Source organism: Homo sapiens, chromosome 2 (assembly GCF_000001405.40).
Source record: "Homo sapiens chromosome 2, GRCh38.p14 Primary Assembly".
NCBI lineage: Eukaryota > Metazoa > Chordata > Mammalia > Primates > Hominidae > Homo > Homo sapiens.
This window is the reverse complement of record NC_000002.12, coordinates 28,320,544-28,348,016: the sequence shown is the minus strand read 5'-3', so window position 1 is coordinate 28,348,016 and position 27,473 is coordinate 28,320,544. Positions and strand designations below refer to the sequence as shown.

Genomic DNA, 27,473 nt, shown 5'->3' with positions numbered 1-27,473 from the left:
GTCAGTGTGGTCAGGGACGGCCAGCCAGGACTCAGCTCACCGCGATCTCCTTAACCCCCACTGCTCCTTGCCTGTCACCTCAGACGTTCTGGATGCAGGGACAAGCTCCGCTGGGCAGGTTCTGGAGGGACCCAAGGCAACGCCCCGGGGCTGGGGCCTGGGGCAGGCTTCGGGAGGAGAGCTGGGGACTACCGCTTTCACTTGCCTCTTCCAGGCCTTGGCTCAGACGTCACCTCCTCAGCCAGGCCAGCCCTGCCTCTCTGGCTAAAAATGCACTCCCACCCCTCCCTGCTTTCTCTTCCCTGTGCTTGGCTCCTAACATTCCCTCTGTATATCTTGTTCATACCCCCTCTCCCCTGATGGGAATGGAAACCCCATGAGGGCAGGGGTTGTGGTGCTGTATTTACTGCTATACTGCTATAGAATGGTGCCTGGCACAGAGTAGTTGCTCAACATGACTGCATGCATGAGAACCAGACCTTGTGTGCACCTCAGCCCCATGGGAGAGTTCGCCAGAAACCGAACCACCACAATGAAGCAAAGAAACCAAGAGTCTAAAACCATGCCCAGCTGGCCCCTCCTCCAGGAAGCCCTCCAGGATTTGCTTCAGCTGAACGCCAGCAGTGTGGATCTGCAGCTCTGTTATGTGGCTTACCCCAGCCTCTCCCATCAGTGGCAGGGGTGTGCACTAGCCCCAGCTTCCTGGCCTTTCAGGCGCAGGGCTAGGCTTATCCATACAGTCCCAGTGCCAGGAACAGAGAGGATGCTCGACAGATGTCTGTCAAGTGCATAAATGGGATGCAAGTTCTGTTGCTCCCCGAAGAGTACCCACTGCTGGCACACAGAAAGAGCTTAGCCGATGTGTGTGGAATGGATGAATGGCTGCCTGGCCCAGTGCTGCTTTTCCATTCCATTTTACATCAATGCTTTGCCCGTCCTGACCTGTCAGAGCCCAGACTTGTCTGCTCACCTGTGTCCTGGTCACACTAGGCCCATCTTGGTCAAGGCCTTTTGGCTCCAGGATGACCCAACACCTCTTCCTGCAGCCTCTGCAGGCCTGGCCACCCCACCCTGGGTGTGGGACACTCCTCAGGGCCTCTGGACCACAGAAGACAATACCCTCTCCAGCCCTGGAAACCCTGCTTCTGGCTTTGGGCTGCCTGTCAGGGCGGCTCACATGTGAGCAAGCAGGCACTGCTCCAGGGGACGGACGGGTACTGGAGAGGGAGCATCTCATCTTTCAGCCGACAGCTGTGGATGGTCACACTCTGTGTTTATCCTGATTCTCCAGATAGATCACGGACAGCCCGCAGTGCAGGGGCTGGCCTGCAGCAGATCAGCAATGGGGCTGTGCCTGGCAGTCAAGACTTGAAAGAAGTCTAATGTTTATTGTATGTTTTCCAGACAGGAGAACCCCCTGGCTAATCCTGTGTTCTAGATTTGACAGAAAACATGCCCACTCTGTGGGGTAACTGGTCCTTAGTGCCCACTGGAATCCTTAGAAAACATGCCCACTCCGTGGGGTAACTGGTCCTTAGTGCCCACTGGAATCCTTAGAAAACATGCCCACTCCGTGGGGTAACTGGTCCTTAGTGCCCACTGGAATCCTTAGAAAACATGCCCACTCTGTGGGGTAACTGGTCCTTAGTGCCCACTGGAATCCTTAGAAGGCAAGTACATGAGTTATTGGTTAAAAGCGGGGAAATAAATTATTATTTAATAAATGTAACTTGGCCAAGGATGGTGGCTCATGCCTGTAATCCCAGCACTTTGGGAGGCCGAGGTGTGAGAATCGCATAGCTGAGGAGTTTAAGGCTAGCCTGGGTAACATGACAAGACCTCCGTCTATATAAAAATACAAAAATTAGCCAGGCATGGTGGTACGCACCTGTAGTCCCAGCTACTTGGGAGGTTGCGGTGGGAGGATCATTCGAGCTCAGGAGATGGAGGCTGCTGTGAACTGAGATTGTGCCACTGCACTCCAGCCTGGGTGACAGACTGAGACCCTGTCTCAAAAAAAAAAAAAAAAAAATTTAAAAAAGTAACTTAATAGACAAAACCTCTGGAAACAAGGGAATTTAGGAGCTTGACAGAAGTGACGAGTCAGGGCCCCCAGGTCGCGCTGCTTAGCACAGGCTTACAGGGGAGCTGTGGGAAGAGAGGAGGGGGAGGCGGCAGGTGGATAGCCTTGGGCAGAGGGCCTGGGAGCTCATAGAGGTGGACAGCTGGCAGAGACACTCGAAGTGGGAGTGGCTCCAGCAAGAGGACTGGACTATCGTATGGGAGAGGCCAAAAAAGATTTTGTTGTTTTCGGTCAGTTAAACGCTTAAGGACAGGGATATGGAATGGAAAGGAAGGAGTGAGAAGAGGGACCAGGAGCAACTTGTGCCAAACCTAAAAGGCAATAATAATAAAGATAGGCTTTTCTGAGCACCACTGAGTGCCAGGCACTGGTGTAAGTGTTACAATGCTTATAACTCAGTGCCCTCATCATGGAGTCCTCCTGCCAGCACCGCGTGGTGAAGTTCCATTTTGCAGAGGAGGAAACTGAGATCAACTGGCTTGTTCAAGTTCACGCACCTAGGAAGTGGTGGAGCCAGGTTTGACTCAGGCCGGCTGGTTCCAGAGCCCATGGGCCTCAACTCAGCCAACGAGCCCATTCGCCTTGCCAGGGCTTGGTTTCGCTGAAGCGGGGCTCCAGGCTGGAGTTAGTTTTGTGAAGGGGATTAGCCCTGGTGGCCGCTGGCTGCTGACAGCTGGCAGTTGGAGTGGGCGAGGCTGAGGGGGCCCCTGGGCCTGGGCAGCTTGGGCAGGAGCCGGCGAGGAAGGGGAGGTGCCTCAGGGGGCCGCCTGGGTGTCGGTGCGGGTAGAAAGGCGGGAGAGACAGGCAGAGGCAGCCGTCTGGGTTGTACAACCTGCAGCCCACGCACGCCGAGAGCCACCAGCGTGGAGTCAGGATGAGGAGTCCTCCTCCCACCTGGTGTGGGCTGGAGTCCCAGGAGCGGGTGCTGGAGTGGGATAGCGGGGGATCAGCTCATCTGAAGCCCTGGTTGTGGGTGAGTGCGTGCACACGGATGTGCGTGCCTGCGCATGTGCGTGGCGAGGGAATGCGCCCTTGTGGAATCTCCCCTAGGGCAACCTGGCAGTGTGAGGCTGACCCTTGCCCCAAACCTCCTGTCCTCGGGCGTGACATCAGTCCCCAGCTGGGCTGTGAAATGAGTCCCAGTCGAATCCTTCCCTACACCTACTTGAACTTACGTCCCTCATTGACACTTTCAGAGCTGACCCTGGGTAAGCGGCCCTCTTATTCGGCAGACCTCGCCTTACTCAAATGATTTTTGGCCTCCCCAGGATTTGCCCTGATACATTGCTTCGGCTGCCTGCAGGGGTGGGCTCTCCTAGTTCTCTGAAGGGTCAGAGGATCGAGAAGGCGCCGTGTGGGAACCACCTGGAACAGGGCCTGGACTGTCACGCATGGTGCTTGAGAAGGGAGAGGGCAGCTGTCACCTTTAACACCCACCCACCACCTTATTTCCAGATGGCACCCAGCACCCTTCTACGTACTGCTCTACTGGCACCTGCGCAGACAGCCAAAAGTCACCGGGAGCTGCAGCGTTCCGTTTTGGAGCAAAAGCGAGATCATGGAGTTGAAAGGGACTGATTTTCACTTTCTTGCCTGGCTCCTAGGCTCACTCAAAGGGCACGTTTCAAAGAGGCTCTCTGGAACGAGGAGCCTTCTGTGGAGGGACCTGCTCCATGGGACTTTAAGAAGGGGGTGGTGGGCTGTTTTGGGGGAAGATGAGTGTATGCCACACCCTCCACAAGCCATTTGGCTGGCTCATCCCAACGTGTTGCAGAGGCGGCTGGCCCGGGGCAGGGAGGCTCATTCTGGCCATCCCTGGGTTGCTTGTGGGGCTACTTTTCTGGCCATGATGACCCATGATTTATTATGACCCCAAGCACGACCTCTTAGACTTGGGAAGTGTGGTTCCTCCAAAGGGATCAGAGAATAGTGACAGAGTAAATCCAAGAACGCTGTAGAAGGAAGACACTTCTTTAGGCCTCTTAGAGTTAACTGCTTCCTATTCAACCTGGAATTAGTTCACGGACCCTGCTGTCTTTGGTAATACCTCGGTAATTTTCCTTAATAATTGTAACAACTGTTTCACCTTGTTTTCCTCAAATATTAGGCTGTTATTTCAACCAAGTGTGTTTTGGACTTTAACCAGAGACTATGGCACAAATTCTGAAGTCAGGTTTATTTATTTTTTATTTTTTAATTTTTTCCAGCTGTGGGCTGGCTCTGGCTCAGCCATCTGAAAATAAGTTATTTATATATATGTGTGTAGCCATATAGATATACTCATCCACATATACGAAGACCACTTCCAAGTCTTTTTTAGTTTGTTGCATGTGACCCCACAGAATTCCTTGGACCCAGCTGACCAGGGTTTGACACCCACTTCGTGTGATCTGGCCAGACCCAGCTACTCCAAGCCCCTCTCCTCACAGGGAAAATGGCAAAAAGCAGTGTGTAAATGTCTTATCAGGGCTCTGTATACATTAGATGCTCAATAAAGCTCTCATTTGGGGAAGCTGGATAACAGAAGTGGAAAGAAACAGAGGGACCTGGTTCACTTCCTTGTGAAATAAAAAAAGAGGAAGGGAGGGAAGCAAAGAAAGGAGAGGGGAAGGGGGAGAAGGTAGGATGGTGATGAGTGAATTATGCCAGCTTCCTGTCCTTGGGTAAGTTATTTATTTAACACCTTTGAGGTTCCATGTTTTTATCTATAAAATGAAGACAATAACCCCTACTTCATTTAGTTGTTTCGAGGATTACACAAGGCGATGGGTGCACCCCACACCCGATTTCTAGTTAGTGTTTGTACTGGACCTGCACGTAAGCACCGTAGATGCATAAAAAAAGGCAAAGGTTGTATTTTAATTTTTTCGAGCACCAATGAATTAGCTATGATGCCATTAATAGAATGAGATGTCCTATTACCATTAGATGATGTTCTTAACATTCACATTAGGAACTGTGGGACAGGCTGGTCCCCATGAACTGGGGCAGGCTCTGGGATAGTTGTATTTATAGGCCTGAGCAAGAGGCAAACCAAATGCAGTCGTCCCTCCGGCAAGTCAGCCGCAACTCCAAGAGCGTGGAGCTGTCAGGAACTGAAACCCAGTCAGAGGCAAAAGTGAACCACGCTGCTCTGATTTCCTTGCCTGTGGGAAAGCAGGGGCCGGGGCGAATAAACAGGTCAGTGGGTTGTTTCTTCTCCAGCACTGCTCAGAGCCTGAAGTCCTGCCGAGAGCTTAAGCAAGACCAGCGTGGGGGGTGGGGAACCCCCACAAATACATCGCATCTCTTATCCGTTAAAATTCAAGATGACTCATCATTTTGTCTTCCTGGTAATCCAGACAGGGTCACTTTTCCAAAGGCCAAATTCATTGGCAGGACTTTTTAACAGGGACATTCTGACTTTTTAGAAAAAGGCCAAAGTCAACATCAGAAAATCTTTTTTCTGGTCTGCGGTAATAATAGCCACTGTTTGTCAAATGTTACTGTGTGCCAAGCACTGCACATGGTGCTCTAGGTACTTTTCTTATTTAATTCTCACAACCCCGGGAGGCAGATATTTATTCCCATTTTATAGATGAGGATAACAAAACTCAGATTAAGTAAAGACAGACATTGGGGCCAGCTCACTCCAGCAGAGGCTCCCACGATGACCCTCCCTGCTCCTCCCAACTCTGCGTCCAGTGACCTCACATTGGTGGCCTGCAGTCCATCATGGGGGGAGTATTTACACCATAGAAATTGGCAAATTGTACAAACCAAGGTCCTTCTCTTTTTTTTCCTCTCTCATCCTCAACTTCATATTCTTTCTAGTTCATGTCTCCACAAGAAAATGAGCTTTAATAGAGCATCATTTGAGGCTGGGCGTGGTGGCTCCTGCCTGTAATCTCAGCACTTTGGGAGGCCGAGGTGGGCGGATCACCTGAGGTCAGGAGTTCAAGACCAGCCCAGCCAACATGGTGAAACCTCGTCTCTACTAAAAATACAAAAATTAGCCGGGCGTGGTGGATTACAGCCGTGTGCCTGTAATCCCAGCTACTCGGGAGGCTGAGGCAGGAGAATCCCTTGAACCTGGGAGACGGAGGTCGCAGTGAGCCGAGATGGTGCCACTGCACTCCAGCCTAGGCGACAGAGCCAGAGTCCCTCTCAATAAAACAAAACAAAAAAAAAGGGTCATTTGGCTGTAGGCGATGGGTCCTCAGGAAGCCGGGCTGCTGGAAGAAGCTGAGCATTGGCTAACCAGGGTCCCTTGCCCCTCCTTCTCGGGGCCTCACAGATGCTTGATCATATCCAAGTATTGCTGGTAAACACGTGTGAGTCCTTTTCCTCATCAGTGCTAAGCAAGAGAGATTCAACTGAAATTACAAGGGCTGAGTAAGCCGGAGACAGGATTTACTAAGTATTAATAATATGCTGTCACATATGGTTCTTTTCATCTTCAAAGCATTTTATAGCCATTTACTAATTAGTCTTGGGCTGCCCTCTGTGTGCAGGTACGATGCTCGATGACAGGCTGAACCGGCAGGAAGTATTTACAAATATACAGGTGACCTTCACTCGTTTACAGGCGCCACCGGCTTCTGTTGCTGTTGCGGGGTAAAGATAAAATCACGCAAACCCTGGTGTTTGAGTCCCTGGTTCTGGAAACATACAGTGGTGACTGTCACCTTGTGCTGAATCCCCTCTAAGAAAACCAGCCCAAATCCTCCCCTGTGGCAAGGAAGCTGAAAGTCTTTTAAAAATAATCATAAATTTCCATCTTCACAAACCTATATAACGTCCATCATCCTTCACTGGGAAATAAAAAAATAAGCTTCAGTTTGTTCACGAGAGTATCGACACACGTGAGAATTGTTGCTGGAGGGGAGCCAAGAGCCTGGATTTGGTCTTGGCTCCGGCCCTGACCGGCCGGTGATCGTGGGTAACTCACTTAACTTCTCTCATCTTCTGTTTCCTCATCTGTGGAACAAAAGCAACCCTATTCAGTTGCTCACAGCCCAGGTCTGCTGTAAAGCTGTGTGAGCTAATGTGTGTGGCAAAACTTCTGAGTTAGACTGTGTGCTTCGCTGATGGGCAGGGTCTCATTCGTTTTCTGGGTCTGTGGGCCCCCAGGGGCTGGCAGGGGCAGGAGGATGACATTCCCAGACCACACTGCCCACTACTGGCTGCTGTCACTGCTGAATGCTTATTTGAAATGCTGAGGGGACGACCAGTCCACAGGACCTCACCCCCTCCCACAGTGCCAACCACCATCTGCTAGAAGTGGAACCAGTAAGAGTTGACTGAGCCTGGGCTTGCTTCAGACCCAGTTGCAGCTCAGAAGCAAGTCCGGGCTCAGTCAACTCTTGGTGCTGTGCACAGTAGAGCCCAATCCGTACCCCTCCATCAGGGGAGGGTGCCCCTAGCAATCCTAAGTGACCATGCCATGGCACCTTAGTGGGGGATGGAGGGGACATGGGGCATAGCACACAGCTGCCCTGAGTAGAGGGGCACCTTCTTGTGGGCACTCAGCGGGTCAGGGTCAGAAGCAGTGCCAGTGTGGTCAGCTGGCTTAGTGGGTCATGATCACTTGCTCAGTAGAATCGCTGGGGGAGTTTTATCAAAATCTAGAAGGCTAAGCTCCAGCTAGTGAGATTCCAAGTCAACAGGCCTGCAGTGGGAACTACCAGAGCAGTAGTTCCTAAAAAAATCTCCCCGGGTGATCTGATGAGCTGAGCCCACAATCCAGTCCAGCCCCCTCCTAGTATTAATATTATGGAGAGGAAGGGACTTACTCAAGGCCACATAGCCAGTTAATGGCAGGGCTGGGATATGGACATAGGACACTGGACTGTTGTTCTTGTCCTGGGAATTCCCAAAGTTTCAGGGTAGGGGGCATAGTACCCACACGGTGAAAAAACCCAGAGTTGGGCAGGCCTCCAGCTGACAGGCAAGATGGGAGGTCTGTTCCAGCTGATCTCCAGCCTCCTGAGAACATTCCTGGGTGCCAGAGAACACAGGAAGCAGAGGCACGACTTCTCCTCACCAGTCTTCACAAGGGCCCAGGGATGGTTCTCTTTTGCGCTCACCTGGTAAAAATGGGCTCCAATAGCCACGAGGGGAACTAAGGGACCAGGTGAGAGGCCCTGTAAAATCATGTGTGTGTCCTGCAGGAGGGGCCAGTGGCTTCGCCTTGGAATGGGAAGGCCAGAGGGTGTCAGGTCGAGCACCCAGGCCAGCTCTTGCCCTCACCTCTGTGGGTGGTGCGTGGGCCCTGCTTCCCTGTGTGGAAGGCCATCAGGACAGGACCATGCTAAACCAAACTGTAAACCTGGTGATATGGCCAAGCCGACGGTAGCCATCTTGTGTTTCAGCTAAGCGAGTGTGTGATGGTACAAGGAGGCCTGGCTCCAAGTTCCCAGGTTTGTTCCTAATTTGCTGTTTCTAATTTGCATGTTTCCTTAACTCTTGGGCCTTAGTTCTGTCCTCTGTACACTGAAGGGAGTAACGGGGTAGAAACGAGATGACTTCTGAAGACCCTTCTGGCTGTGATGATCAGTAAGTTCAGGGAAGATGTCGCCTGCTCAGGGTATCTTCCCCAGCTCTGTTCCTGGCTGGCTGCACAACTGCCAGTCCCCAAGCCCAGAAAGCAGACACATTCCTCTGATAAACCATGACACCCAAGCTTTGTCTTTGTGTATAATTCACACAGTGCTGCAGAGGCCCAGAGGGGATGGAGAGGGGAGAGCCGGAAGGACAGAGCCGTTGGTGCACTCACCAAACTTTAATGACTGCCTACTGTGTGGGGCTGGCCTGGGAACAAGGTGTCCACACAGGGGGCTGGAGGGGTATGGATGGCAGCGGGTGGGGCTGTGTGTGCTAGAGGCCATTTGTTATTGAGCAACAGCCTTAGGTCAGGCTGGATGAGTGGCTGAAACCCAGCAGGTTGGTCACATTGACTCAGGTAACTCCTTCTCGCCGTGAAGGACTGCCCCAGATAGGAAATGCTTGGGTATGAAACACACACATGCACGCACAGAGGGAAGACACTAGTTTCAGAGGAAGAACAGCGAGGGGCATTTAATCTTAGAACTTAAGAGGTCTCAGAGACAAAGGCTTTGGAAGAAAGGCGTGGGCATTCCTGAGGCTTTACTTTCCCCGGAAAATTACTGCACCATAATTTGTGAGTTTATTTCTTCCAACTAAGAAATAGAGGCAAGAAAGAGGGAGTAACCCGAAGTGAAGGGCTCTAGGATCCAGGGACCACCAGCCAGCTCAAGTTGGATTTCAGCAGTCGGGGCTGCCTGGGGCGTGCAAAAGCTGCTGTGTGAGCAAAACGCTGCCGTGAAGACATTCCAGGCGGCTTCCAGGAAGCGGCTGTATGTGCTGACACGCATGTGGACAGGCAGTCTGGCTGGCCACCTCTCAAGACTGGTGTTTCCTAGAGCTTTCCATTGGCAAATGCTGCCTCCTGGAACTGAGGGACAAAGGTTTTGAAATAAGCCCTGGTGGGAAAGAAGGGGAGAAAAAAAATTGTGGTTAGCACAAACAACTTGAAACAAAGTGCAACTGGGAGCTTTCAAGCTAACTCAGAACAGTTGTTATTTATTGTTCATGCATCTTGGGTTGGATTTGCCTTCTCTGCTGAGGCAAAGCCCTCCGGATTTTTCCGAGGAGATGCATGCAGTTCACTACTGTGACATCTCTCAGGAATATTCAAAGGGCCTGTACGTGCACCCTCCTGGCTGCCAATTCCTATGAGATATCTGCACTTAGGTCCGGCTGCCTTTTTTCAGGACAAAGACAAGGGCCTGGTCCAAGCTACAAGACAGTGTGTGTGCAATTGAACCACGCAGTCATTTAGTGATCTAGAGTATCAGGAAGGTTGCATTTTCCACTCAGTTGGACCTTTGACTTCATAAAGACAAAGAGGGTCTAATAAGTTTTTTAACACATTTGATTTTTTTAGAGACAGGACCTCACTCTGTGAGCCAGGCTGGAGTTCAGTGGTCCAACCACAGCACACTGTAACTCTGACCTCCAGGACTCAAGTGATCCTACTGCCTCAGCCACCCAAGTAGTTAGGACTATAGGTGTGTGCTACCATGTCAGCAATTGTTTTTTCATTTTTTCACAGAGACAGGGTCTTGCTACATTACCCAGACTGGTCTCAAACTCCTGGCCTCAAGGGATCCTCCTGCCTCGGCCTCCCAAAGTGCTGGGATTATAGGCCTGAGCCACCACACCCAGCCCTAATAATTTCTAAATGATTCATGGGCTCCATTTATTTCCAAACGCACATGCAGTCTGGTCTACTGGAAAGAAAGCTAGGCTGGGTGTTAAGAGAACATTTCCCAGTCAGTGGAAGAGGGGTGGCAGGACCGGGGGCAGCCCGTTTGGCCTTTCCGGCATCCAGGTTTCTAATCTGTGGAAGCAGGGCCACGTTCTACCTCAGATGTGCACCCGCCGAGCCCACACTGTGTCAGGCACTGTACAAGGCATCAGGGGTGGCGGGGTGACCCAGCCATGGGATCACGCCGTGTGGGAGAATGCAGTGTGGAGGAGACGGACACATGGGTAACCCCACATCAGGGCACCAATGGCAGTCCCGCGGGCCACAGTCCATGCAGCAGGGAAGGGGCAGTGGAGGGGCATTTCCAGCAGCAGCTTGCTGTCAGCTGAGAGGTGAGGGAGAAAAGTGAGGGGAGGAGAAGGGAGGGGCTGCAGAGGAAGGAGGTGGGCACCCGTGCTCCTGGTCACCAGGCTTGCCTTCTAGCCCTGCCCCACCGACACCCACACAATCACAGTGACACCTTACGTGTCCAGATATCTCACCTCAGAGCAATGGCAAGAACCAGGCAGGGCCACCAAGACCTGTCACCCTCAGCACTGCAAAGGTCTCATCGCCTCACCCACAGGGAACCTCCCACAGTCCATTTCATTTAGGATCTGGTCCTACTGAGCCTGGCTCTACCAGCTGCCAGCTCCCAGGAGATCAGAAGCAGCAAATCTGGAGTGGAGGAGCTAACCCAAGGGTAGGAGGCAGATTCACAGCAGCAGTGAGAAGAGAACAGAAAACTGCTCAGGAAGCACGAGCACTCACCGGGGATCCTGTGCCATAGGGCAAAGAGCCCCACGCAATCTGACAGGCCCTGGAGTTGTCTCTGGAGCAGAGCAAATGCAGCGGCTGGTGCCACCGGCTGCCCGCCCCCTTCAAGTCAACTGCAGCCCTCTTTCCAATCTGGCCTTGGAATGCTCCAGCTCTTTCTCAGTGCTGGCCTCCACCATGGCCTCTGCAGCACTGAAACGTCAGCTCCTCTCTCTGGAAGCTCTCTTTCCCTGTGACTTCTGTGACATGTGGTGCCACAGCTGTCCTGCCTCTCTCTACCTCTCCCTGCCCCTCCTTCGGCACTCCCAGGCGCCATCATCCTTGGGGTCACACAGAGCAAGGTGGGAACTCCTGGTCCTGCAGCACCGCTAGCCCAGCCCTCCCTCCCCTCAAACTTCCAGTCCCACGTCTCCAACCACCTGTGGGACACCCTACCTGTCACTCTGTAACTCAAACTAGTGTTCCAAATGGATGTTTTCATCACTTTTATGTATCTGAAAATGCTCTGACCAATTTGGTTTTCTGTAACAGAACCTTCAGTTTCCTTCCGAACCAGTTTCCATTCTCCCTAAACCCCTACGGTGAATTCATCCTCAAGGTTCCTGCCGCTAAGTCCCTCCATCCGTAGTGACTCCCATAGCTCCTGTCTTATCTTTCGATGGCACTGCTGCAGAAGCTGCTTCTCCCCTGGACATGAGGCCTCCTTTGCCTATGTTTGCAGCTACACTGATTCTCTTACAGTGTGAGTCTCTGTCCCTTTCCTGACCAAGACCTTAATGTCCTCCAAACTCTCAGCCTGGCATTCAATGACTCTATCTGGCTCCAAGTCATTAGGAAGAAAATCTATTCTGTTCCTCTATCACATTTTTTGAGATCATGCGACCCTTTGAGAAGCTAAGAAAGTGAAGGATCCTCTCCTCAGAGAAACTGCAGGTAAGACGCCCCACAGCAACCCGGGGATGTCACAGACCCCCCTGAGCTGGCCACGGTCCAGGATACGAGCCCTGGATCTACTGCCTCTCCCTTCTTCTCATTTGACTACTTGCTCTTCCTCACACATGCCATTTGCCACCTCTGGGCTTATTCATGCTCAGGACAAATACTCCTGCTTCCATCAAGTCTCCCCTGGTCCCCAGGAGGTCATCTCCCTGCACACTGTCCGTGCTTCTTCTGGGGCACTTGTCCCATGTGCACAGGTCTTATCTGCCAGCCCCTGGAAAGCGGGAGCACATCCTGCTCCCAGTGACCACTAGGCCTGGCTCAGTGTAGAAAGCACTTGGTGATGGGCTGTGGCTTTAATGTAACTAATGATGACCACGAGCTTGCAAGAAGCAGTTACAGTATGTCCATTACAAGCTGTTTAAGAAGGCGGGAGAGGCTGGGCGCAGTGGCTCATGCCTGTAATCCCAGCACTTTTGGAGGCCGAGGCGGGTGTATCACCCAAGGTCAGGAGTTCAAGACCAGCCTGGCCAACATGGCGAAACCCCGTCTCTACTAAAAATATAAAAATTAGCCGGGTGTGGTGGTGGGCGCTTGTAGTCCCAGCTACTTGGGAAGCTGAGGCAGGAGAATCGCTTGAACCCGGGAGGCGGAGGTTGCAGTGAGCCAAGATCACGTCCGCACCATGGCACTCCAGCCTGGGCGGCAGAGCCAGACTCTGTCTCAAAAAAAAAAAAAAAAAAAAAAAAAAAGAAGGTGGGAGAGACAGCAGCTCCAGAAAGAGAACAGGTACAATATTTAGGTACTAAGGAAGAACACTTTAGTCCATTCTCAAATTTCAAACTTTGCCAACAGTTAGTAAGAAAAAGCACCCTCTTCCATCCACTTGTGATCAGCACAGCCCTGAGCCAGCCAAACCGCCACCTTCTCTGGCACTCAGGACCTCAAAGCCCTTATCCATTAACGGCACCATGCCACAGTCGCCACAGTCACCCTTAATGCAAAAGGGGTGCTGTGGTGTGACAGAGCTCCAGACCTAGGCAAGGCCGGGCAGGGCAGGAGAAGCCCTGGGCTCTGTTCCCTTACGAACAGTAGGGGTGATAAGGCCACCTGATGCCACACTCGCATGGGACAGTGTGTGGGAGGAGACAGTCAACTGTTGGCTGCCACCCAGACGTGAGGGCCACTTATTCCTTCCATATGTTTCACCTGCTGCTATTTCCCCAGCAACATGGAAGTGCGGCCGGAGAGAGCCTTGTGGCCCCGCTTCTCCAGAGGGTCTGAGATCGACAGGCTGCCACCAACCTCTGCTGCATGGACTCTGGCCTGATGTGCACTGTGGAGTCTGGCCCATCCCAGTACCACTTTCAGGGAGGGCTGAATGTTCCCTAAGTTAGAGGTGAGGACGTCACCTTCCCTGACCTTACAGCTACGAACATCAAGGGGAGAGGCTGCAGCTGAGCTGCACTATAGCCCCCACAGGTGCCTGATGAGCAGATGGTGCTGGAGCCACTGCTGCCCTGGACGCTGGCCTGAGCTGGGCAGGGGTCGGGTCCGGGGAGCCCTCCACTTACCTCCCCAGGCCCAGAGTCACACTGGGTCCCGAGGCAAGCCTCATCAGCTTAGTCTTTCCTTGTAAACTTCTAGGGGAAGGGGCTACAACATTGCAAGCTCCTTACACAGAAGGGAGCACGTTTTAAAGGCAAGCTTTTTTCTTTTTAGAAAGTTCTAAAGTTTCCTGTTCTGTCCTGGGCTTTCCCTGCCAGGGCCAACTGCGTGCTGCCAAGGGGAAGCGTGGCGAGGGCTATTTAAAGGCATGATGCTACCAGCTGTTTTCGGCGAGTGCCTCTCAACTTGGATCCTCATTAAGTTAGTTAACGGAGTGGGAGGAGGGGGAAAGGGAAAATGACAACTGGCTCCCACCCATTTATAGATTTTTTAAAACGCTGTTTTCATTTATTTCACTTTTTATCAGAGAAAATGGAGAGCTGCCCAGAGTACAGATTGCTAATGGCAAGAGGTATCTGTCATCTTTGAAAAAACCTTTGACCCAGAGACAAAGTATGTAGTAAGCTTTAAAAGTGTAAGCGTGTTCTAGGGGATAGTGAAGTCTTCTCACCTCCCCATTAACTGGCCAAGTGGGGCCCACAGGAGAGGGCCCTGAGTGTCAAGCTCCTCACTGAATGCACACTGTAAGGGAATCTATTTTTAGATGGCATTAGAGCTCAATATGCCTGAGGGCAAAATGAGGTTCAGTCCCTCTTCACTGATCTCAGTCTCTCTGCTCAGGGTTTCATAAAATTACAACTCGGTCCAACCCAGGAGTCTCAGTTAGGAGAAGAAAACGTAAGGACTGGGTAGGTTTCCCATGAATTCAGAGCAGAAGCAGGGCTGGCCCAGGCTTCAGCTCACAGGCATGGCATGGTGGAGGGAACTGAATCAGGAGTCAGGGGGTCTACTTTTGTGGGCCTTGGGCCCAGGGTAAATCTCTTCTGGGCTTCAGCTCCCTCACCTACAAAGCAGGGTGCCATAACTGAGGGTCCTAAGGCCGGTGGGCTGTAGAAGGTGAGGGTAGCCTGTGCGGGGCAGGCTCTGGAGCCAGGCGGACTGGGCTCGAGGCCTGGCCACACTCCTTACTCGTTGATCATGAGGGCAAGTGACTGCAGCGTTAGTTTCTTCATCTAAAAGGCGGGAGTAACTGCCTACCTTAAAGGGTTCTTGTGAGGAGTGAATGAGATGGTCTGGGTAAGCGCTTGGCATGGTACCTGGCATAAGAGATGATCAATAGATGTCAACTATTATCATGGGTACCCGCTGGGGCCAAGGGGAAGAGGCTCTGAGTCTGTGGAAACAGCCAGAAGAACGCGTGTGTGCCGAAGCGGGAAACCTGTGAGAGGTCTAGGGTCCTTGTCCTCAGTTCAGCCTTTCCCGAGGCTCCTTGGATCAGGCCCTCCCTTCTCACTGATCACACTGAGCTGGCAATCGCAGGCAGAGATGGCCAATCTCAGGCTTGGATACTCAGCCAAAGTCATGGGACACTGTGTGTCTTTTGCAATCCAGTCTAGAGCTGCTCATGGCATCCTTGTGGCATCAAAGGACAAATTCTGTAGCCAGAGGCACCTCCAGCCCTTGCGTGTCTTCTGCCCCCAAACCTACCAGGTGTACTCCTTGTGTGTGGTGTGCAGTTTTGGTCAGGGCTTGACCAGGGATGATGCTGCAGCTCTTCCTAGAAGGGTATTTAGGAATCACATGGCTCCGGCTGCCAAGAGCAGGGTGTTGGTTGGCCTGGTCCTCAAACAGCTCTCCTTCTGTCCAGGACAACATGCATCGTCAAGGGGAGGCAGTGGGGGAAGTGGAAAGAGCACTGCACTAGGAGGCACAGGACTCACAGCTCTAGCCCGGGCCCTGGCTCATTGTGTCATCCAGAACTGGGACTCCATTTCCTCACCTGTAACAGGATGATTTCTACTTAATGATCTTATGACCACCCAGTTATGGTCTGAGATATCATCCATGTGATCTTGAGCAAGCCACTTAACCCTTTTGTGTCCTGATTCTTCATCTATTAAATTCAGACACTAGCACCTCTTTTTTCTCTTTTTTAAAAAAAGTTCCGGGATCCACGTGCAGGACGTTAGGTTTACTACATAATAAAAGTGTGCCATGGTGGTTTGCTGCACCTCTCAACCCAGCGCCTACGTATTAAGCCCTGCAGGCATTAGCTATTTATCCTGATGCCCCCCGATCAACAGGCCCCAGTGTGTGATGTTCCCCTCCCTGTGTCCATGTGTTCTCATTGTTCAGCTCCCACTTATAAGAGACAACATGTGTTTGGTTTTCTGTTCCGGTGTTAGTTTGCTGAGGATAATGGCTTATAGCTCCATCCATGTCCCTGCAAAAGACATGATCTCCTTGCTTTTTATGGCTGCATAGTATTCCATGGTGTATATGCACCACATTTTCTTTATCCAGTCTATCACTGATGGACTGGGTTGATTCCATGTCTTTGCTATGGTGAATAGTGCTGCAGTGAACATATGCGTGCATGTATCTTTATAACAGAATGATTTATATTCCTTTGGGTATATGCCCAGTAATGGGATTGCTGGGTCAAATGATATTTCTGGTTCTAGGTCTTTGAGGAATTGCCATACTGTCTTCCACAATGGCCAAACTAATTTACATTCCCACCAACAGTGTAAAAGCGTTCCTACTTCTCCACAGCCTTGCTGGCATCTATTGTTTCTTGACTTTTTAATAATCGCCATTCTGATTGGCATGAGATGGTATCTCATTGTGGTTTTGATTTGGGTTTTCTCTAATGATCAGTGATGTTGAGATTTTTTCATATATTTCTTGGCTGCATAAATGTCTTCTTTTGAGAAGTGTCTGTTCATGTCCTTTGCCCACTTTTTAATGGAGTTGTTTTTTTCCTATAAATTTGTTTAAGTTCCTTGTAGATTTTGGATATTAGACCTTTGTCAGATGGATAGATTGCAAAATTTTTCTCCCATTGTGTAGGTTGTCTGTTCATTTTGAAGACAGTTTCTTTTGCTGTGCAGAAGCTCTTTAGTTTAATTAGATCCCATTTGTCAATTTTTGCTTTTGTTGCAATTCTTTTGACGTTTTTGTCATGAAATCTTTGCCTGTGCCTATTTCCTGAGTGGTATTGCCTAGATTTTCTTCTAGGGTTTTTATAGTTTTGGTTTTATATTTAAGTCTTTAATCCATCTTGAGTTAATTTTTGTATGAGGTGTAAGGAGACGGTCCAGTTTCAAATTTCTGCGTATGGCTAGCCAGTTTTCCCAGCACCATTTATTGAATAGGGAATCCTTTCCCCACTGCTTGTTTTTGTCAGGTTTGTTGAAAATCAGATGGTTGTAGATGTGCGGCCTTATTTCTGAGATGTCTATCCTGTTCCACTGGTTTGTGTCTGTTTTTGTACCAGTACCATGCCGTTTTGGTTACTGTAGTAAAGTCTGAAGTCACGTGATGCCTCCAACTTTGTTCTTTTTGCTTAGGATTGTCTTGGCTATACGGGCTCTTTTTTAGTTCCACATGAATTTTAATGTAGAATTTTTAAAAAAATTCTGTGAAGAATGTCCATGGTAGTTTAATGGGAAAAGCATTGAATCTATAAATTGCTTTGGGAAGTATGGCTATTTTCATGATACTAATTCTTCCTATCCATGAGCTTGGAATGTTTTTCCATTTGTTTGTGTCCTCTCTGACTTCCTTGAGCAGTGGTTTGTAGTTCTCCTTGAAGAGGTCCTTCACATACCTTGTAAGTTGTATTCCTAGGTATTTCATTCTCTTTGTAGCAACTGTGAATGGGAGTTCATTCATGATTTGGCTCTCTGCTTGTCTACTGTTGGTGTATAAGAATGCCTGTGATTTTTGCACATTGATTTTGTATCCTGAGACTTTGCTGAAGTTGCTTGTCAGCTTAAGAAGCTTTTGGGCTGAGACAATGGGGTTTTCTAGATATAAGATCATGGCATCTGCAAACACAGACCATTTGATTAACTCTCTTCCTATTGAATACCCTTTATTTCTTTCTCTTGCCTTATTTCTCTGGCCAGAACTTCCAATACTATGTTGAATAGGAGTGGTGAGAGAGGGCATCCTTGTCTTGTGCTGGTTTTCAAGGGGAATGCTTCCAGCTTTTGCCTGTTCGGTATGATATTGGCTGTGGGTTTGTCATAAATGGCTCTTATTATTTTGAGGTATGTTCCACCAATACCTAGTTTATTGAGAGTTTTTAACATGAAGGAATGTTGAATTTTATTGAAGGCCTTTTCTGCATCTATTGAGATAATCATGTGGTTTTTGTCTTTACTTCTGTTTATGTGATGAATTACATTTACTGATTTGCATATGTTGAACCAGCCTTGCATCCTGGGGATGAAGCTGACTTGATTGTGGTGGATAAGCTTTTTGATGTGCTGCTGGATTCAGTCTGCCAGTATTTTATTGAGGATTTTTACACTGATGTTCATCAGGAGTATTGGCCTGACATTTTCTTTTTTTGTTGTATCTCTGCCAGGTTTTGGTATCAGGATAATGCTGGTCTCATAAAGTGAGTTAGGGAGAAGTCCCTCCTTTTCAATTGTTTGGAATAGTTTCAGAAGAAACGGTACCAGATCCTCTTTGTACCTCTGGTAGAATTCAGCTGTAAATTCATCTGGTCCTGGGCTTTTTTTGGTTGGTAGGCTATTTATTACTGCCTCAATTTCAGAACTTGTTATTGGTCTATTCAGGGATTCAACTTCTTTCTGGTTCAGTCTTGGGAGGGTGTATGTGTCCAGGAATTTATCCATTTCATCTAGATTTTCTAGCTTATTTGCACAGAGGTGTTTATATAGTATTCTCTGATGGTTGTTTGTATTTCTGTGGGGTCAGTGGTGATAGCCCCTTTATCATTTTTTATTGACTAGCACCTCTTTTCAAGGAGGTTGTGAGGAGAATGGAAATGTGTATCAAGTACCAAGCCCAGGGCCCCACACAAATGCAAGTTTCAGTAGGAGGTGGTAATGCTGCAAAGGTGGTGGGAGTAGTTGGGTTATTATTGGATCGTTTCCATCTGCATAGTTTTATACAAATGGGGTAGGGTTAGTGAACGCTGCAGAGCCCCGAGCAAAAAGTGCCATAGACAGTTTTGTCGGGGGACATGAAGGCCTGTTCCTCTCGGCCACCCCTCTGCCCTCTAGCTCAGGAAGCATAAGTTATCAGGGGTAATGCCTGGAAAATGACATAATGGTTGGGTTCTAGAGAAGGGGAAATCAGGAGACTGAAGAAAGTTAAGACAGGGAGCTATCAGGGAAATGCTCAGAGGCCTTGGGGTTGAGGCCAGTAGGAAACTTTGTTCAACGAAGTCTCATCTAAAGGGTTCTTTCCTACTGGAATTACAATGCTTTATTGATTCAATAGATCTTTTCAAAAGGATAAAAATCCATAAAATAGACGTCTGACAAACTGAATCAATATAGCTTTAAATAAATGAAAACAAAACACAGAATATACAACCCAAAGAGGTTGGGGACTGGCAGCGGGGAGAGAGCACCTAAGGCAGTTAAGCTTTGCAAAGGTGGTGCTCACAACACTACTGGGTGTGGCAGGGGTCATGCTCCCCATTTTGCAGGAGAGAAAACAGAAGCTTAGCAAGTTTAGTTAAGATACCTGCCAATGTCACTCCAACCCCAGTGCCACTAGAGCCCGGCCCCGTGGACGAGACCCTGTGGTCTTGTTGCTGTTAGCCTCCTTCACTTGGAACTTTTTATTTGGCAAGAGCCTAACAGTTGCCTTCTTCCAAAACAGGACTTGAATTCTGGAATTCAAACATGCTTTTCTTTGGGTAATTGTAAGATGAGCCTCATGATGTTTGCTAGAGTCAGGCCAATGTGGTGGTAGGGTGGGGTGTGGTAGGAGAAGTGGTTCAGGGACACAGCCCTCACTGTCAGGAAATCAAGGGCATAAATCAAGTCAGAGGTCATTTTTGCAAATAGAGGCAAGTTCCAACATCTAAGGCTCACTGCTTTTTCCAGTTTTCTTCTGCAGCTGTGACTTCAACTGGCACATGTTTTTAATCAGTCATATGAAAACCGATTGTGGTCTGAAAATCAAAGCAGTCCTGTAAATAGTGTAAGACAAGTCCTGCTAATCATGCCTCGTGGTCTTGCCTTGTCCTCATTGTCCTGAACCGCCACTGTAAATTCTGACTCACTTGGGGTTACTCGCCTCGTGTCAAAGGGCCTCGTGTCAAAGGGTCATCCTCACAACAGGATGGCTACAAAGAGACCTGCTTCTGTTTCAATGTCCTTCACCCCAAACCCTCCAAAGGCCCCTGTGACAACTGCCATCCAATTCTGGGTGCCTTGGTGAGTGAGTGACTGGCACGATGGGAGCTTGTTTTGTAATTATGCCCCGGGCGATGGCAGCCTGGCTCTCGGGTGTGGGCTTTAGGAACAAACAAGTGCTTGTAACTGGTTCATGTACACAGTCAATCTTGCTAAATGCGCCAACCCCTGAGCATGCCTGGTCTGTTTTCAGGGGGTCTAAGCTTGCAAAACAAGGAAATTAACAAACTTGAGATGCAAAGGCTTGATATCGCAGTGGGAACACAGTACCACATGCTCACAGCTTCAGGCAGAGGCCCTTGCCCTCAGCTGGAATCAATCTCCCCTCTACTCGATTCCACAGCATGCCGGGCCTCCAACCTCAGGCTGGGCTATGTCTGCCTTGCGTTTGAGATATTTAGATTGGTGTCTAGACTACAATTTATACAGCTCGGCCTCCTCGCCTGTGAGAAGGCTGACTGTGGTCTCAGTATGTGTTGAATTAAATCAAATGCCGTTTTAGGAGGACTTCAACAACAACTGACTGAGATCCATTTCTAGACATCAAAGTATTGGGATGAATTCTGGTTCCTGCTAAATCACAGGGTATTTTTAAATACTTACCAAAGTGATCAAAATTACTGAGCAGTTCTCTCTCCCTCTGAGGCCCTCCAAGGAGGCCCTCTGGAGCTTGGCCAGTTCCTCTGGGGCTGGAGCAGCTTGCAGCCAGTTTTTGCAACTGCAAAGGCCAGGACTTGCTCCCACGGGCTGCAGGCATCTCTGCTCCCTTGGCATCCCCTGGTGCAGCAGATGAGAAGGAGGAGGAGAAGGGAGGGCCAGCTGGCTAAATGGAGGGAGGGACAGGGTAGTCCTAATGGGCTCCTGAGCCTCCACCGGCCATGGGACCAGCTTCTTTCTCTGGCGTTCATCACAGATGTATGCACGCATCTACACATACCAACCATTCTCTCACACCCTGGAAGAAGCTCCCTGAGGGCAAAGCCCATGGGTCGTATTCATCCATCTTTGCATCCCCAGCCTGGAGCATAGTGTCCAACACTCACCAGCTCAATAAATATTTCTCAAATGCAAGCATTTGGCTTACTTAAGATATACTTTAGAATGATAGAATGTTGTAATTAATAGAAGGAAAAAGGAAACTGCCGAGGTCAAACATTACAAGGAAGGGGAAGGGGAGACTAAGGGCGGGAGGTTAGGATGGTTCCTGTGACACTGCGTATCCTAATGGCACGTTAGCATAGGTCATCCCTGTAAGTGCCTAGAGGGCAGAATTTGGGGATGGTTCACCCTTAGTGCCCTTGGTGCTCACCCTGTCAGAAGCTCCCAGAAGATGAATGTCAATTTGGTGCTAAATGAATGCCTGCCTGCCCAGGGGGTTGACCTGAGGCCCCAGAGCTAGTAGGCGGAGCGTGAGCCAGTCCTCTCCATCCCCCTCCCTCTCAGACTGCCGTGCCCATCATAACCTGCTTGATGAGAGGCAGGAATGGCTGTGTGGCACTGAGAGAGGCTGGGAAGATGGGTGCACCTGGCTGGGCTGGGGCTGGGAACGAGGCCAGGTGGTGGGTGTGGGGGGCTAAGGAATGTGCTGCTGCCTGGGGCCTGGGAACCCAGAGAAGAGCCCCAGCCCTGGGTTTATCTTGTCTCCCCATCTGCACCTGCCTGGTGTGCCCAGATGGTGAGTCCTCTGCTCACTCTGCCCAGGGCTGCAAGAGCAGGCGCTCAGCACAGACCATGATGTGCTGATGGCCACGTGGCTGCCTGGGGTGGGGTGCAGGGAGCTCACCACAGTCCCGGCCAGGAGGAGGGCTACTCACGCAGCTCACCTGCTGGGAAAAGTGGGCCGCCTGTCGGATGGTGGTGAGTCACCACCAAGCTCACAGATTACCCTCCACTTTTTAGTCATCGAAAGGGGAAAAACCAAAGGGTGACCCTGAAAGAGGAAGTGCCCAGGGACCCAGCAGAGCTGAACCTGGAATGTGGGTCCAGGCCCCAAGTCACACCCCAGCTGGAACAGTGCTCCGAGGTTTGTGCGCAGCATGGTCAGGCATCAGCCTCCACAGCAAAGTGCAGGACTCCCAAAGGAGGGCCTCAGGAACACTTAGGAGATCAACTCCTTGAGGCCTCTAACCTTCCCCTCCCCTGAGTCTCTCTAGGGCTTTGAAGTGTTATTTGCCTGGTTGTAAGTTCACTTTCTTCCACCAGATCTCAGCATCCAGAGGCCAGAGCTCATGGCTTCCACAGGTGCTCAGGCCCCTGCATGCTGGCTTTTGGACACAGCTTTTGGTCACCCAACACTCTGGGACATTCACCCCCCTGGCTGGGTGTTTGAGGATGTGGGGGAGGGGCAGCAAGATGGCCATGGTCCCTCCTCTCTTCACCCTTATCCCCCTGACAGCTGAAATCACACCGCAGACACCTGGCTCTCTGGGCTTTCAGACAGAAAAGCAGCAATTCCCAAAGAAGAAACTACTCAATGGGAGAGGGTGTCCAAGCTCCACTCTCCCTGCTGGGGTACAGTGGCCTTCTGGAGACAATGGCCTTTGGTAACAAGAGTAATTCTCACAACAGGAACTTCAGGTGGGCTCTGCTGGGGTAGGGTGTGGGGAAGTTCCATGCAGGCTGGCAGATGACAGAACGTCTGGCAGGAGGGGGCCTTACAAGTCTTCTGTAATCATGCAGTAGAGAGGCTGGGGGCAAGCACAGGAGGAGGAGATGCATCTGCTCTGCTGGGCTGCAGGGATCACTCCACACTGCACCAGCTCGGGCCCTGCACATGCTGACAGCAGGTAGCCCTGCGGCCCCAGGCTTCCGTTACAGAAAGGGAGGGAGGGAAGGAAAGGAAGGGCATATATGCAACGTGGATGAATGATATCCACACATGGTGTAAAGAAGGCTTGTTCAAACAGTGGATCACAAAATCCATTTAGTGGGTTCTGAGCAGCATTAAAATAAAGTGAAATAAAATCAGAGTGCACTGTATGTGGCACTTTTGTTTTAGTTATATATACTGGATTCAAATGTAAAATATCTTGTAGATTGTGGTTAAAAAAAAAAGTCTGGAAGCCATGAGTATAAGGAAAGGGAGGTGCCTACTACATGCCAGATATCATGCTACTTATTTTCATGTGTATTATTTTATATTTACTCCTTCTAACAGGCTTACTACCAGGCAGGTGATTCTATTTTTGCCAAAAATAAATCTACGATCAGAGATGGAAAGTAAGTTTTCTTTTCTTTTCTTTCTTGAGACAAGGTCTCTCTCTGTCTGCACTCTGTCACCCAGGCTGGAGTGTGGTGGTGCAATCTTGGCTCACTGCAGCCTCGACCTCCAAGGCTCAAGTGATCCTCCTGCCTCAGCCTCCCGAGTAGCTAGGACTACAGGAGTGCACTACCACGCCCAGCTAATTAATTTTTTTTTTTTTTGTAGAGATGGGGTCTTGCTATGTTACGGGTCTCACTATGTTGCCCAGGCTGGTCTCAAACTCCTGAGCTCAAGTGATCCTCCTGCCTCAGCCTCCCAAAGTTCTGAAATTATAGGTGTGAGCCACCATGCCTGGCCCAAAGTAACTTTTCTAAGATCACACAGCTAATAGGTGGCAATGCTAGTTATGAATCCAGAGCTGCTTGACTCCAAAGGGCACATTCTTTCCATGCCACCATGATTTCCAGTGGCAAGTGTACTGTCCACTGAGTCGGGAGCCTTGGGTTCTGTCCCTGGCTCTGCTATATCGTGGTGAATCACTGCTCTGTTTTCTCATCTATGCAGTAAGGGAGCAAGATAAATAATTTCTAAAATTTTTTGATTTCGTGTTCTCTCCCATCCCAAACCTCATTGTGGCTGTATTTTAGTCTCCTCCATTAAACTTTTCCTAGAGCTGCCAACAGCTCAGTAATGAATTTCGAGGGCTACTTACTGCCAACCCCCATTGCACCTACATTTGTTCTACAAAACCCCCTAGATGGCCCTCCCTCTGGTAGCTCTGTGTGTCTACAGGTATTGACTGGTGCTGTTCACTCTCATCTTGGGATCTGCATCGTGTAGCTTTTCAGCAGAATTATGACTATGATAACAAGAGACAAAAGGGATGACCTTGACCTCCCTCTCACGGGCCCATGTGGTTCTTGGAAGTGCTGGGGCACCCTAATGAAGAATGCAGGCTACTCTGAGTGTCTGGGGGAAGGAAAAGAAGTTCAAGAAGGAGGGTGTGTGCAGTCCACCTAGGTGACATGTGAGGGACCACAAATGTTCTCTAAATAACGAGCCCCAGAAGAGCAAAGGAAGCCCAGAAGGTTCCTGTAACATAAAGGTCATCTTAAAACTCCCTAGGGTTGATGAGGGGCAATATCTCTGTGACTTGCTGTCACAGGGGAGGTAACATCATCCCGCATAGTCAAACTGTGGACTTGGCACGGGAGCTTTAGCTGTGATTCCAGCTCTGCTTTTCTCTGCTACGCTGCTTTGGAGAAGCCACTTCACCTCTCTGTACCCCAGAGATGCCTCATCTGCAAAGTGAGGGGATGGTTTCTGAGGTCACTGCTCAGTCTAATATACTATTATCCATTATTATTATTTCTGCTTTGGTATTAATCCAACCACTTAGCCAGAGACAGTTTCTTAAGTGGAAGCAGTAATGTAACAAATGACCTCTCCCAGCGCTTAGCTAGAGGGGTTAAGAGGCAAGAGCCTTCACAAGCATCATCAGAGGTGCTGCACGGGTCTGAGCCGTCTATCTCCCCTTTGTCTCCAGATCTGACTTAGGACCTCAAGAATGCTGGCCAGTATCCATCCTGCTCATGTTCCTTCCACCCTTCAAATCAGCAGACAACTAAATATTCACACACTCATGGGCCACTCCTGTGCTAGTAATGGGCTGGTTCCTGCAGGGGTAAGGGACTGCATTTGGGCAGGGCCCTGGCCCTCAGGGGACACACAGTCACTTGACTCCCAGAGCAGAGAGAGCTGCGTGCTCACCCTGGATGAGAGTGGGGGGCTCTGCTTTCACAGCCACGGGCAGAGCCCTCCTTGGCCTGCCGCTTCTTACTGCTATTGCTTTGGAAGAGCAGGAGCAAAATTCCTGCCTTGGGCTGGCTTTCTTTTCTGCTCAGAGGTATGTGGGGATATTATCCAGCAGGCCAGACGTCTAGCCCCTTTAATGACAATAATGATAATTTACATTTATACAAGGCCTTTCATTGGGGGATTTTAATTGTATCACAAACAATAATTAATTCCCCTTTGCAAGTCTGGCAGTCAGCTAAGCAGGAGCCCCTTTACTCTGCAGGTGAAGGGTGCTTTCCTGGGCCTGCAACATGCTGGGGGTCTCCCACCTACCTGACACCTACCCACCCTCAAGGCCTGGCCTAAGCATCGGGGCCTGCGGCCGCCAACCACAGCCCATGACTGCTTGTCCTGCCTCTGAAGCTCCACAACACGAACTGTTGAGCCACTCATTTGGTGCTAACCAGAGAACCTTGCTGTTGGGCGAGACCTCAGGATCTTGTTCAAGGCAGGGCTTGGCCCAGCAGCACTTCTGGGGGGTGATCCTCACCCTGCTGGAACACCTTGAGAGCGCGTTGCTCAAAGGCGCCTCTAAGAGTTACAGGGTTCTTCTCTCTCCCGAACTGGAATCTGTCCCCTTGAAACTTCTGCCCATGGATCCCAGTTCTGCTCTCTGGAATGAAGCAATCTTACATAAACTGTCTGGGGTTGCTGGTTGATGTTTCTGGTTCGTAAGTTGTCTACTTCTGTGGTCACCCTTGGGCGGAGCTTGGTGGCTCATACTTCACCGAAGTTCAGGGACACTTGTGCACCGAATGGTAGGGGCAGCTGGAAGCTCCATCACTGGGGAGTGCCTAGCTTTACATGCAGCACTCCAGACTACTCTGCCCCAGTCTCAGTGGTATAAACACTGGAGGCTTCTGAGTTCATTTCACTGGGGCTGCACCTCAGTGACACAGAAGTACCCTAATTTTCTGTTGAATGACTGAATGAACAGCCTTCCTTCCTAAGGATCTATTATTCTTAAGTTCATGCAACCACTGTCAATTGCAGGGACTTGTTTTTGGAGACCAAGCCAGACAATAATCGATCTAGTTTTTTTTTTTTTTAAACTCACTTTATCAGAATAAATATTTGGTGCTAAACTTGAGAAGCAGATGTATCAATGCTGAGCTGGGAACTGACCCGGGACAAGGAACTCCACAATCCTCCTCCTCTCCAAGCAGTGAGAGGCAAAGGTGGGGCAGAGGGGCAAATGAAATCCTTTGCTAAGTTTATTTTTAAAAAGCTAGATCTTCTGGGGAAACCAACACTCCCTAGAGTGATTTCTGGGTCCCTGCTGGTTTGCTTTTTGCCTGAAAAGACACCGGCCCTCCCTCTGCCAAGAGCACATTGTTTGGGTGAGATTTTTCTCACAGTGGCTTACCATGGAAGGAATTTCGAGCATGCATTAAAGGCTGTTGTTTTCCTAAAACCTGCGCAGTATGAACAAGAGGTTTGGCTAGTGGTGACACAGCCTCATTCTGCTTAGATTTCACACGATTCCTATTTTCTGGCCTAGAATCAGGGGTGATCATTTTTGGCTTGGGTTTGGCCTGGGTCATAGATCTGAGGGATGCTTGGGAAAAGAAACATGGGTTAGAGATGGAACCTCCTGGTGTCATTCTGTGGCAAGAGGAACACGTGGCAATCATTCCCTATCTGATTAAGTGGGAAGAACATGGATTTTCGAGTAAGAGAAAACTGAATTTAAATGTGGATCTATTACTTACTAGCTGTGTGTCTGGAAAAGCCCCCAAGTCTCTGTTTCTCTCCAGTGACCAGTTGTTATGAGGCAACAGTGCCAGGCACATGGTAAGAACTCAAGCCTTGGTTTCCTTCCTGCCCACCCCTCCACTGCCATCATACAGCTACGGACACACACACATTGAGGACCTCCTGTTTCACGTTAACTCAACAAACAGTTATTGAACAGCTCTTATTGACAAGGGCCTGGACCTCCTGGGAACACTGTCCAACTAGTGTCTGGTACCAATAGGTATATATATAACATTTGTTGAATAAGTGAATTAACTAACTTGATACTTCTTATTTTATAGTTTATAATGTGCTTTCAAAATAACCTCATTTTAATCCAAGCAACAATCATGTGTATGAAATCGATCCCATTACTCTACTCCCCCCATATACATGAAGGAGCAGGCTTGGAGAGGAGTAACTTGACCAAGGCCAGGCACATGATAAAGGCAGAGCGGGACTTGGAAGCTGCAAGCCCGTGTCCTGATGACAGCACACTGCCAGCCCTGGAGGGTCTTCCTGCCTTCTGCAGCCACTGAGGGCTAAGGCTGAGCAGGAAGGGCAAGGCTCTGGGTGCACCCATGTTCCACTAGAAGGCACCCCGCTGAGTGATGCTGCCAACCTATGCCTGGCCACGGCAGGCTGCAGCTAAATGTGAGGACATCACCATGGGCCTGGCAACGTGGAGTAGTAATGAAATTGGAGACATCT

At 49.8% G+C, this 27,473-nt stretch overlaps 1 protein-coding gene across 14 annotated transcripts in view, besides 2 other annotated features; it reads right to left on the bottom strand.

Annotated features, from left to right (window-relative positions):
* Window positions 7,428–8,047: an enhancer, noted in NCBI's record as "H3K27ac-H3K4me1 hESC enhancer chr2:28562837-28563456 (GRCh37/hg19 assembly coordinates)". NCBI's record gives its function as "activates a minimal SCP1, AML or CMV promoter by ChIP-STARR-seq in naive H9 embryonic stem cells {active_cell/tissue: H9 hESC(naive)}" and the evidence as "EXISTENCE:reporter gene assay evidence [ECO:0000049][PMID:30033119]".
* Window positions 9,116–27,473, bottom strand: part of BABAM2 (BRISC and BRCA1 A complex member 2) — a 450,193-nt gene continuing 431,835 nt past the window's right edge. For 8 of the 14 annotated variants that reach the window (NR_137438.2, NR_137437.2, NM_001329112.1 and 5 more), the window contains one exon: window positions 9,116–9,567. Coding sequence is in view for 8 of the 14 variants with exons in the window: in NM_001329112.1 (NP_001316041.1) it covers window positions 9,504–9,567 (64 nt within the window). In the remaining 6 variants the exon portion in view is untranslated. Of the gene's footprint in view, window positions 9,568–20,569; window positions 20,790–27,473 lie in introns of all 14 variants that reach the window. The other 6 variants (NR_137439.2, NM_001329113.2, NM_001329114.2 and 3 more) reach the window with 3 other exon arrangements.
* Window positions 11,749–11,949: a silencer, noted in NCBI's record as "peak3639 fragment used in MPRA reporter construct". NCBI's record gives its function as "represses an SCP1 promoter by STARR-seq MPRAs in K562 erythroleukemia cells {active_cell/tissue: K562}" and the evidence as "EXISTENCE:reporter gene assay evidence [ECO:0000049][PMID:32103011]".